Source organism: Homo sapiens, chromosome 16, assembly GCF_000001405.40.
Source record: "Homo sapiens chromosome 16, GRCh38.p14 Primary Assembly".
Taxonomy (NCBI): Eukaryota; Metazoa; Chordata; class Mammalia; order Primates; family Hominidae; genus Homo; species Homo sapiens.
The window spans coordinates 4097788-4110020 of NC_000016.10; the positions used below are offsets into that span (position 1 = coordinate 4097788).

The 12233-nt window shown below is 47.0% G+C and overlaps 1 protein-coding gene across 3 annotated transcripts in view, besides 1 other annotated feature; it reads right to left on the bottom strand.

The window, feature by feature from the left end:
* ADCY9 (adenylate cyclase 9) overlaps positions 1–12233 on the bottom strand; it is a 163056-nt gene that overhangs the window by 144401 nt on the left and 6422 nt on the right. The gene's annotated exons all lie outside the window — the stretch shown is intronic.
* Positions 10655–11154: an enhancer, noted in NCBI's record as "H3K4me1 hESC enhancer chr16:4158443-4158942 (GRCh37/hg19 assembly coordinates)". NCBI's record gives its function as "activates a minimal SCP1, AML or CMV promoter by ChIP-STARR-seq in naive H9 embryonic stem cells {active_cell/tissue: H9 hESC(naive)}" and the evidence as "EXISTENCE:reporter gene assay evidence [ECO:0000049][PMID:30033119]".

Genomic DNA, 12233 nt, shown 5'->3' on the forward strand with positions numbered 1-12233 from the left:
CTGCCTGCCTTGGCCTCCCAAAGTGCTGGGATTACAGGCATGAGCCACCATACCAGGCTTATATTTACTTATTTATTCATTCATTTATCAGCAAATATTATCACACATATATTATATGCCTGGCTATATTCCCAGCGCTAGGAACACAGCAGGAAGTAAAACATGGAAAATTCCTGCTCTTAAGATGCATTCCAGTGGCGTGGAAACAGATTATAAACAAAATTAAGTCAAATACATATGATGCAAGCTGGAAAAGAGAGTGGCTGGCCCATAGCTCCAGGAGGCACTGTTGAAAGCAAGGCTCCTACTAAGGGAATTCCTGGAGTTGGGCCTTCTGGAATGTTCCACAGCGGTCCTGAGGGATGGGGTTTGCTGGGCTGGGGGAGGACTCCTCAGTCTGCAAACATGTCATCTACGTTTTGGTTTGGGATTTTTTGTTTTGTTTTGTTTTTGTTTTTGGTTTTTTTTTTTGAGACAGAATCTCACTCTGTCACCCAGGCTGGAATGTAGTGGTGCAATCTCAGCAACCTCTGCCTCCCGGGTTCAAGTGATTCTCCTGTCTCAATTTCCCGAGTAGCTGGGACTACAGGTGCACGCCACCAAGCCCGGCTAATTTTTGTATTTTTAGTAGAGATGGGGTTTCACCATGTTGGCCAGGTTGGTCTCAAACTCCCGACCTCAGGTGATCCGCCCGCCTCGGCCTTCCAAAGTGCTGGGATTACAGGCATGAGCCACTGTGTCTGGCCTGTAATATTCATTCATTTATTCATTCATTCATTCAGCCAATATTATCAGGCATGTATTATATGCCTGGCTATATTCCCAGCACTAGGAACACAGCAGGAAGTAAAACATGGAAAATTCCTGCTCTTAAGATACATTCCAGTGGCGTGGAAACAGATTATAAACAAAATAAGTCAAATACATATGATGCAAGATGGAAAAGAGAGTGGCCGGCCCATCGTTCCAGGAGGCACTGTTGAGAGCAAGGCTCCTACTAAGGGATTTCCTAGAGTTGGGCCTTCTAGAACATTCCGCAGCTGTCCTGGGGGATGGAGTTTGCTGCAGGACTCCTCAGTCTGCAAACAGGTCATCTACATTTTGGTTTGGGATTTTTTTTTATTGTTTTGGTTTTGTTTTGTTTTGCTTTGTTTTGTTTTTGGAGACAGAGTTCTCACCGTGTCACCCAGGCTGGAGTGCAGTGGTGTGATCTCAGCTCACTGCAACCTCTGCCTCCCAGGTTGAAACAATTCTCCTGCCTCAGTTTCCCGAGTAGCTGGGATTACAGGTGTGCGCCACGACACCCGGCTAATTTTTGTATTTCCAGTACAGACAGGGTTTCCCCATGTTGGCCAGGCTGGTCTCAAACTCCTGACCTCAAGTGATCCACCCGCCTCAGCTTCCCAAAGTGCTGGGATTACAGACGTGAACCACCACGCCCGGCCTTTTTATTGTTTTTTTATCACGATTTACCTACATTCACAGACACCTGCCCCTCAACAGGCATTAGTGGGAAGATACAGAAAGAAATTCTACATTGCTCTCAATTGTAGGAATGCAAATTAAAGCTTCCAAGGAACTCGAAGATGCACAAACCGTTTCTTGGGTGGCATTATTTCCTCATAGAAACATGCATATACTATTCATTTTCTTTTCAAAAAAGATGAGGGTAAACTTTAGCTCAGTCTCTCTGAATAAACATATCAGACAAACAGAATTAATGAGATTTTAATACCTATAATTTCTCAACTCTTTAAAAAGGTTACTAAAAGGGTATGAAAGTTATCAAAGACCACTGGGGTTGCATGAAGAGGACTCAGCAGCCAACTTAAAGGGGCTCCCATGGGCCCCAAATGGGACAATCTGAGCATCAAAAATCATGTATCTGTAATGGAATGAAATACATCAAATAAGCTAAAATCCAAGAGTTTATATTGATTCTTGAAAAAAATCACCTTTGGAGGACGTTAAGAAACCATCTCAGCTGGGTGCCTTGGCTCACGCCTGTAATCCCAACACTTCGGGAGGCCAAGGCAGGAGGATGGCTTGAGCCCAGGAGTTTGAGACCAGCCTAGGCAACATGGCAAGACCCTGTCTCTCTCAAAAATTTGAAAAAATCAGCTGGGCGTGGTGGTGCACATGTGCAGTCACAGGGAGGCTGAGGTACGAGGAGCACTTGACCCTGGGAGGTTGATATAGTTTAGCTCTGTGTCCCCACCCAAATCTCATCTTGAATTGTAATCCCCATGTGTCGAGGGAGGGACCTGGTGGGAGGGGACTAGATCATGGGGGTGGTTTCCCCCATGCTGTTCTCGTGAGAGTGAGGGAGTTCTCACGAGACCTGATGGTTTAAAAGTGGCAGTTCCCCCTTCGCATGCTCTCTCTCTCACTCTCTCTCTCTCCTGACACCATTTAAGATGCGCCTTGTTTCTCCTTCATCTTCTGCCATGATTGTAAGTTTCCTGACGCCTCCCCAGCCATGCAGAACTGTGCCAATTAAACCTGCTTTCTTTATAAATTACTCAGTCTCAGGTAGCATCTTTTTTGTTTGTTTGTTTCTGAGATGGGGTCTCACTCTGTTGCCCAGGCTGGAGTACAGTGGCGCGATCTGGGCTCACTGCAACCTCCACCTTCTAGGTTCCAGCGATTCTCCTGCCTCAGCCTCCCAAGTAGCTGAAATTAGAGGCGTATGCCACCACGCCTGGCTAATTTTTTGTATTTTTAGTAGACACGGGGTTTTGCCATGTCGGACAGGCTGGTCTCGAACTCCTGAGCTCAAGTGATCCGCCCGCCTCAGCCTCCGAAAGTGCTGGGATTACAGGCGTGAGCCATGCACCTGGCCTCAGGTAGCAACTTTATAGCAGTGTTAGAATGGTCTGATACAGGTGGAAGCTACAGTGAGCCGAGATTATGCCACTGCACTCCAACCTGGGCAAAGGAGTGAGACTCTTGTCTCAAAAAAAAAAAAAAAGAAAAGAAAAAAACAAACTCAGTCTGTAAATGGTATAGAAAGGGAAAGAACCAAGCAAATAAAAGCATCTAAACACACACGGCTCCCAGGATCCTAGGATTTCACAGTGGCTGAGACAGCAGGATACGTGAGGGCAGGGTACATGACAGCAGGGTAAATGCAGAGAGCTAAAGACAGGTATCGTTGTTTTGGCTGTTGCTGCCACTGCTAAGAAAATTATTCCAACTTTCAGTAACACTAGCTCTTCTCTACTGACAGGTATTATGTGCCAAGAACTTTTCTAAGAACTTGTATTTTCTCATTTAATCCTCGCAGCAATTCTGTGAGATGGGTACTAGTGTTTTCTAATACAGCCTTTGGGTTTAAATACTGGCTCCACCATTTAGTATCCCTTTCTGGCTGTGTGATCATCACAAGTTACCTAACCTCTCTGTGCTTCAGTCTTCTCATCTATAAAATAGAGATCATCTCAACCCTATCTGTAATACAGTCAGGAAGTCTAGTACAATATTTGTTCAGGTGATTTTTTTTTTTTTTTTTGAGACAGAGTCTTGCTCTGTCACCCAGGCTGAGTACAGTGGTGCAATCACAGCTCACTGCAGCCTCGACCACCTGGGCTCAAACGATCCTCCCATCTCAGTCTGCCAAGTAGCTTGGAATACAGGCACATGCCACCATGCACGGCTAATTATTTATTATTTTTAGAGACAGGGTCTCACTATGTTGCCCAGACTGGTCTCGAGCTCCTGGACTCAAGCGATCCTCCTACCTTGGCCTTCCAAAGTGCTGGGATTATAGACATGACCACTGCACCTGGCCTGTACAGATTATTTGATCACTGTCTACTTCCCTTTCTAGGCGTCATGCCCCAAGAGGGCAGGGGCCACCCCTCTATCTCCAGAACCTAGTCCTCGCCTTGCCAATGGTAGGAACCCATTCAATATTTAATGAATAAACAAATGAGTTTACAGTAGGATACAGTACAGTTGAAAAAAACCACTCTAGTTCAAACCACGGCCAATAGCTGGAGTTGCACAGCTGAAGATCTGCTTATAATTCCTCAACCATCGAGGGGCCCATCATCTTAAGAACCTCCAGGCTCTGGGGAACTGAAGCAGCCTAGGAACGAGCCTGCTGAACCCCCGAGGGTTTTCAGTAAAGAGGCTGCCAAGTTCGGCAGCTAGAGTTTAACCAGGGCGAGCTATCAGTATTTTGTATTTTGGACACTTGCCCTTTTTATTACGAGAAACTGACACAATCACAGTCCCTAGTGTGTTCTAGGTTTCGGTACTGAACGACACAAGATGTGCGCCAGATTGAGCGCAGGAAGAAAGAAACACCCTTTAGTGCAATACGAAATGTGACTCAGCCAGCGGGGAGCGTTAGTTATTGATGGAATGGCTGTCCACCATCGAGTCACTATGCAAATAAGTGCTTTTCTTGCATTATCCCAGTTGATTCTCCCAACGACCCTCTGACAGAGACACCATCATTCCTATAAATTGCAGCGCCCCTAGGTAGCTTGCCCAAAGTCCCACAGTTAGGAAACCATACAACCGAGAATTAAGCCCGAATGTATCAGAAATCAAAATCCAAGCACCCAACCATTCAAGGGTGAGCCCTTCCAAAAAAAATTTACAGAAACAAAGTTGATGGTTGTTTCTTTGTTTGTTTGTTTGTTTTTGAGATGGAGTTTCGCTCTTGTTGCCCAGGCTAGAGAGCAGTGGCATGATCTCAGCTCACCGCAACCTCCGCCTCCTGGATTCAAGCAATTCTCCTACCTCAGCCGCCCGAGTAGCTGGGACCACAGGCATGTGCCACCATGCCTGGCTAATTTTGTGTTTTTAGTAGAGACGGGGTTTCTCCATGTTGGTCAGGCTGGTCTCGAACTCCCGACCTCAGGTGATCCGCCCGCCTCGGCCTCCCAAAGTACTGGGATTACAGGCGTGACTCACTGCGCCCAGCCATGTGTTTGTTTTTTGAGGCAGAGTCTCGCTCTGTCGCCCAGGCTGGAATGCAGTGGTGCCATCTCGGCTCACTGCAGCCTCCGCCTCCCAGGTTCAAGTGATTCTCCTGCCTCAACCTCCTGAGTAGCTGGGATTACAGGTGCCCACCACCACGCCTGGCTAATTATAGTATTTTTAGGAGAGACGGAGCTTCACCGTGTTGGCCAGGCTGGTCTCCAACTCTTGACCTCAGGTGATCCACCCACCTCGGCCTCCCAAAGCGCTGGTATTACAGGCACGAGCCATGGCCAGCTCGAAGTTGATGGTCTTTATCACACACTTTGAACATGAGCAACAAAGATTTACCAGAATCACAAAAGATTTTTAAGGATTTTGTAAGAAAAGGTCAATGTATGAACTAAGGTCACTTGCTATTTCCACAGGCAATATGTAATGGGTGTGACAACTCCAATTGGCGTTGTTTCACACACATGAGAATGCGTGTTTGGGTGGCACATACAAAACCCTCAGTCTTCCCATCTTGCAGCCCAGCTAGCGAAGCAGTACTCAAAGTGTGATCCGCAGATCCCTAGAGGTCCTTGAGGCCTTTGCAAGGCATCTGTGGAGTCTAAACTATTTGCACAATGACACTAAGACAGCATTTGCCTTCTTCAGTGTTGACACTTGCAGTGACAGTGCAGAAGAAGCCATGGGTGAAACTGCTAGTGCCTGAGCAGGTCCCGATGCAGGGAAACCAAACTGCACTAGCCCTCAGCTTGTCCTTCACTACCCCACACTTACGAAAGGAAAGGCAGACAGCTTCACTTAAGAATGTCCCTGATGGGCCGGGCATAGTGGCTCACGCCTGTAATCCCAGCATTTTGTGAGGCCGAGGTAGGGAGATCACCTGAGGTCAGGAGTTCAAGACCAGCCTGGCCAATATGGCGAAACCCCGTCTCTACCATAAAGACAAAAATTAGCCGGGCGTGGTGGCACACATCTGTAAATCCCAGCTACTTGGGAGGCTGAGGCAGGAGAATCACTTGAACCCAGGAGGCGGAGGTTGCAGTGAGCCAAGATCACACCACTGCACTCCAGCCCGGGCGACAGAGCGAGACTCTGTCACAAAAACAGAAAAAAGAAAAAAAAGAATGTCCCAGATGAAGCTGTCAACATGAATGATTGGTTAAATCGCAAGCTTGAGTAGGTGTCTTCTGAATAGTCTGAGTGATGAAATGAGAAGCACGCCTACGACGACGCTGCTGCCCATCAAAGCACAGCGGTCCTGGAGAAAAGCAGCTGTGCAGCTGTTTGGATTGCAAGCTGAACTGGCCACCTTTTTGGTAGCACATTATTTACACGTGACCTACAGACAAACCACGGTCGTTCAGGCTTGAGTACGGGCAGACCATTCCTGGGAATATGAATGAGTCTGTCGCTTCAAGGAAAATAACTGACAGTATTTGCCGCCAATGATAAAAAATTCCAGTTTTCAAGTAGAGTTTTGGAAAACTTACATCAGCCACTGTGATGAACTCAACATCTTCAGACTATTAGACTTTACTGACGTCAACATGTGGAAGAGCTGCATCATTCAAGAGACCAATATTTTCCAAATGACTAGTGCATGACGTTATAAAATCACACCTGGGTAAAAACCCAACAGCATTTAATATAATAGTGTACAAAAAAAGATAATAAAATTTCAGATTCCATATTGCAACTAACATTTAAGAAACTACCACTCAAAATAAAAAATCAGCGGGGTGTGGTGGTGCATGCCTGTAGTCCCAGCTACTTGGTAGGCCAAGGCAGAAGGATCACTTGAGCCCAGGAGGTCAAGGCTGGAGTGAGCTATGGTAGCACCACTGCACTCCAGCCTGGGTGACAGAGTAGGACCCCATCTCAGAAAAAGAAAAAGAAACTACTACTCACTTGTTGAATGTTTCTACAGAATCAAAGAAAAATATCCAGAATCACATAAAAAGGCTATGAAAATGCTCTTCCAACTAAAGCCAGATTTTCTACACATTTTTCAACATATTGCAACAAATTGAATGCCAAAGCGGTTAAGAAAATTCAGCGAACACACTTAAAAGTGTTTTAACACGGTAGATTTCTGTTGTGTACATTTTATCACTCAAAAAACCTCAGCCGTGGGTCGGGCGCAGTGGCTAACATGCTGAAACCCTGTTTCTACTAAAAATACAAAAAATTAGCCGGGTGTGGTGGTGCGTGCCTGTAATCCCAGCTACTCGAGAGGCTGAGGCAGGAGAATCGCTTGAACCCAGGAGGCAGAGGTTGCAGTAAGCCGAGATCGTGCCACTGCACTCCAATGTGGGCAACAAGAGGGAAAAAAATCCACCAAAAAAAAAACAAAAAACTTCAACCGTTTATTAATCCAGACATTAAAGAGATTTGCAAAAATGTATGGCAGTGCCACCCTTCTCATCAAATTTTTTCATTTTACAAAATATAGTTACTTTTATAAAAATGTTACTTACATTAACATGCAATGGGTGAAATGAATTACTATTTTGAAATAAATTTAGAAAAGATTTTTAAGCTTCTCAGTTTGTTTCAATTTCTAATACTGTAAATATCAATAGACAACCTATATAAATAATGCACATAAGCCTGGGAAACATAGGGAGACGTCATCTCTACAAATAATTTTTAAAATTAGGCCGGGCATGGTGGCTCACACCTATAATCCCAGCACTTTGAGAGGCTGAGGCGGGCAGATCACTTGAGGCCAAGATTTTGACACCAGCCTGGCCAACATGGTCAAACACCATTTCTACTAAAAATACAAAAAAAAAAAAATTGGCCGGGCATGGTGGCATGCATCTGTAATCCCAGCCACACGGGAGACTGAGACACGAGAATTCCTTGCACCCAGGAGGCAGAGGTTGCAGTAAGTTAAGATCACACCACTGCTCTCCAGCCTGGGCAAGAGTGAGACTCCGTCTCAAAAAAAAAAAAAAAAAAAAATTAGTTGGATGTGGTGGCATGCGCCTGTGTCCTAGCTACTGAAGAGGCTGACATGGAAGGATCATCTGAGTGCAGGAGGTCGAGGCTGCAGTGAACTGTGACTGCACACTGTACTCCAGCCTGGGCAACAGAGGAAGACCCTGTCTCAAAAAGAAAAGAAAAAAAACCTACAGAAACAACAATTTCTACTGGATTAGAGGAAGGCATATAAGCTAGGTGCAGCTATCCCTGACTGTCGGGGCCCAGCATTTCACCCTGTTTCCCAGCTTCTGCCCTCTAGGTCACACTACTGCCACCACTACTGCTACAACTCATTCTGCCTCCACTGCCACCAGCAGCCTCTAGCGGGTTTGATGTTCCCACCTATCCCAGAACATTGAGCCTTCCCACTTAACTCCGCAGAAAGGATGCCAGGAATTTTTTACAAGTGCAATGCTAGCAAAGGCTGGGGAAAATGAGACAAAAAACCTGATTTCCAAGAGCAGACAAGTTTTACAAGGGGCAGTCTTCTTCGCTGAAGTTGACTAAAATTTAGCCACGGGTTGGCTTGGCTGGTGTGGTTCACTGGGTACATCCACAAGACTACAAGAATATCACTGCTGTCTGCAGTCTTCCCAGGGGAGGACCACCCTACCCTTGGCCCACACCACGGATGGCGGCCCCACATCCACCCTCTGATGCAGCCCAGTCCCTTCCCTTCTGTTCCGCGGCAGCACCGGTGCCTGGCCACTTCCCTTGCCAGTTCCCTTCCTGTTTCAAAAACTCTCATCTCTTCACAAAATTCCCTCCAGGGATGCTAGTTCCTGTTGGAAAAGGTCTTGAGGTGTGTCACAGGCAAAGTACAAATGATATGCCCAGGGCCAGATGGATGACAGGCCCCTAAGCTCAGCTAGTCCAGAGTCAGGAGGGGACCTGCAGAATTCTAATGGTGAATGATTACACTCTTACAGTTTTGGAATTCCAGCAAAAACACCAATACTAAAATCACCAACCAAGACAAAGACGAGACTTACGGCCCACGCAGGCTTCTGCACACTCTGTGCCCAGACATGGACAGATTAATGTGGGTTGGTTGGTTGGTTTTTTTCCAAGATTACTATTCCACAGCAAAGTACATAGGCAACGCTGACCAATATGCAGAAACATAATTACTATCTCACCAAGCTGGCCAGAAGACAAAAATCTTGAAACTTCTTGACTTGCTCTAATTGTTCCTTCTCCATGTTTCCCTTCCTTAGGCATTCTACCTGAAAAGACAGCCCTCCCTTCCTTCTTCATCCCATTGGCAATTCAGCAAACCTTAACCTTCTCTTGCTTTACCAGAGGTTACTTCTACTCGAAAGCTTGTCTTCAGAATTAACAGCTGTGTCCTTGTCACTGTAAGCCAGGTCTCAAAGAGCCTGAACAAATGGTCACTGGGGGCAGCTTGAGTGTCGACTCTACTGCTGTTTTCTGTCTCCCACCCCAGCTGTGGAGGGGAACTGTGTGCCTCATCTCATCTCTGCCATTTGCTATCTGAGAGGCTGTATTTCCACGTGCATAACAGATCCTGCTCAAGAATGCAGGTCAAGGCTGGGCGTGGTGGCTCACGCCTGTAATCCCAGCCCTTTGGGAGGCTGAGGCTGGTGGATCACCTGAGGTCAGGAGTTCAAGACCGGCCTGGCCTACATGGTGAAACCCCATCTCTACTAAAAATACAAAAATTAGCCGGGCGTGGTGGCGCACACCTGTAATCCCAGCTATTTGGGAGGCTGAGGCAGGAGAACCGCTTGAACCTGGGAGGCAGAGGTTGCAGTAAGCTGAGATCACGCCATGGCATTCCAGCCTGGGTGACACAGCCAGACTCTGTCTCAAAAAAAAAAAAAAAAAAAAAAAAAAAAGAATGCAGTGCAGGTCAACACAGAATTTCCAAGCAAGGAGACTGAGCTCTGCTAACGGGTTAGCATCCCAGTGGCAAGGGTTGCAGGCTTAGGTGGGGACAAGCTAACGGGGGAAGGAAGGGGAACACCTGAGCATGCAACTGAACCCCAAACCAACACCTGGCTAGGGTTCTGTCAGCTGGCAGGCCCGTGCTCAGGGTTAATGGGGCGCCCAGATTTCCGGCATGAGACAGGTGTTTGTTTGCAGAGGCTAACGCATACAGAATGCCTCCGTCCACTGTCGGTCTGTCGGCCCACCAGACAGGGTCTACATAGGAACTCCTCTAAGGCAAAGGTCTCGATCACAGAGGTGGCCAACAGGTGACAATCTGCCCAAATGCATACCAGCGGGTCTCCTCCCCAAGTTGCTCCACAAGCATAAAGTTTGGCTGGGGAAAAAAGCTTTTTTAATTTCTGCATCTGACAATGTGATCACTCCCTGGTATTCCCCTCTTCAGAGATATGACCATGGGTGTGGATGAGAGCGGAGGAGCATCTTCATTCTGTCTTCCTAATATTTACACGGGAAAAGAAGATGCCTGTAGATATTTTCTAACAGTTTCATTTTCTGTCTTTGTGACCCTGTATCTATGACAGGAAAAGCCAACAGCTCGAGATAACACGTCTCACCATTTTTTGCTTGTGGCCCAAGGCAGAATACAACAGCCACGGTTCCCTCAGGCCTAGCGGTTTCATCCCAAATGCTGTGGAAGGTCCCTCACCTTAATCAGACCGTTTCTTCATTTTTTTTTTTTTTTTTTTTTTTTTTTTTTGGCGACAAAGTCTCGCCCTATCGCCCAGGCTGGAGTGCAATGGCACGATCTCGGCTCACTGCAAACTCCACCTCCTGGGTTCGAACGATTCTCCTGCCTCAGCTTCCCAAGTGGCTGGGACTAAAGGCGCCTGCGACCACACCCAGCCAATTTTTGCATTTTCAGTAGAGACAGGGTTTCACCATGTTGGTCAGGCTGGTCTCAAACTCCTGACCTCCTGATCTGCCCACCTCGGTCTCCCAAAGTGCTGGGATTACAGGCATGAGCCACCACGCCCGGCCCATTTCTCCATATCTTTAATAACTGTCCCTCACACTTTTTTTTTTTTTTTTGAGACAGGGTCTCATTCTTGTCGCCCAGGCTGGAGTGCAATGGTGCAATCTTGGCTCACTGCAACCTCCGTCTCCCAGGTTCAAGCAATTCTCCTGCCTCAGCATCCCGAGTAGCTGGGATTACAGGTACCTGCCACCACACCTGGTTAATTTTTGTATTTTTAGTAAATATGGGGTTTCACCACGTTGGCCAGGCTGGTCTCAAACTCCTGACCTCAGGTGATCCGCCTACCTCGGCCTCCCAAAGTGTTGAGATTACAGGCATGAGCCACCATGCCTGGCCCCTCACTTTTTAGATTATTTCCAAAATCCTAGCAGTATGCTAAAAATTCCTGCAACCTTCTCCCAGTGACTGGCCACCCTAGATAAGATTTCTCACACTCGTACACCCCATCTGCTGTATCCCCTTCCTGCTTTATGTTTGTTCACAAAACACTTTTTCTATTTTACTTATTTATGGTTTGACTCCCCTGTTGTCCCCTCTATTAGATCTCCCCTATTTGAAGGCCTGGTTTTTGTTTCTTAGAGACAGGGTCTCACTCTGTCGCCCAGGCTGGAATGCAGTGGTGCAATCACGGCTCTCTGCAACCTCGACCTCGTGGGCTCCAGCGATCCTCCTATATTATTGACTTAAAAATTCTTGTCCCCTATTACAAGAGCAGGAATTGTTGTCTGTTTTGTTTACGGCTGTATTGCCAGAACCCAGAACCGTGCCTGGCACGGAGTAAATGATTTGCTGAATGAGTAAGCAAGCCAGGGGTTCCGGGCCTCTGTACTCTGCAAGTCCATCCTGCATTCTCCATTCATACCATAGCAACTTCAAAGGCCCCTCACCCATTCCTGACTCCACATTGTCGCCAAGTCACTTCCAGAAACTTAAAATGCCATTTCCCATTCACATGGTCAAGCCCTTCCCCTCCTGCCAGTCGTTTGTTTAAATCTGGCTTGCAGTCCCATCAAGCTGCTCTTCCTAATGCCACTCAGATCCCATCACCTCCATCACTGCTACTGTAACTTTGGATTGGGCCACCATCACCCCTACCTGGGATTTACTCGACACCTCATTAATCTCTTTCCAACCCACACTCACTAGCTCTGAAAGAGTGAACTTTCTAAAACTGCAAGTCAGATCACCTAAGCCCCCTGTTGAGTGGTTCCCTGACACCTATGGGGTCAAATGCAAACTCCTTCCCACGCTACCCATGGCCTTCCTTGTCCTGATGAACAACTAACAATCGTCCGCCCCCACAGAGAAGCACAGGGCCCAGCCATACCCACCTCTCCGCTCTGCCCTGGTG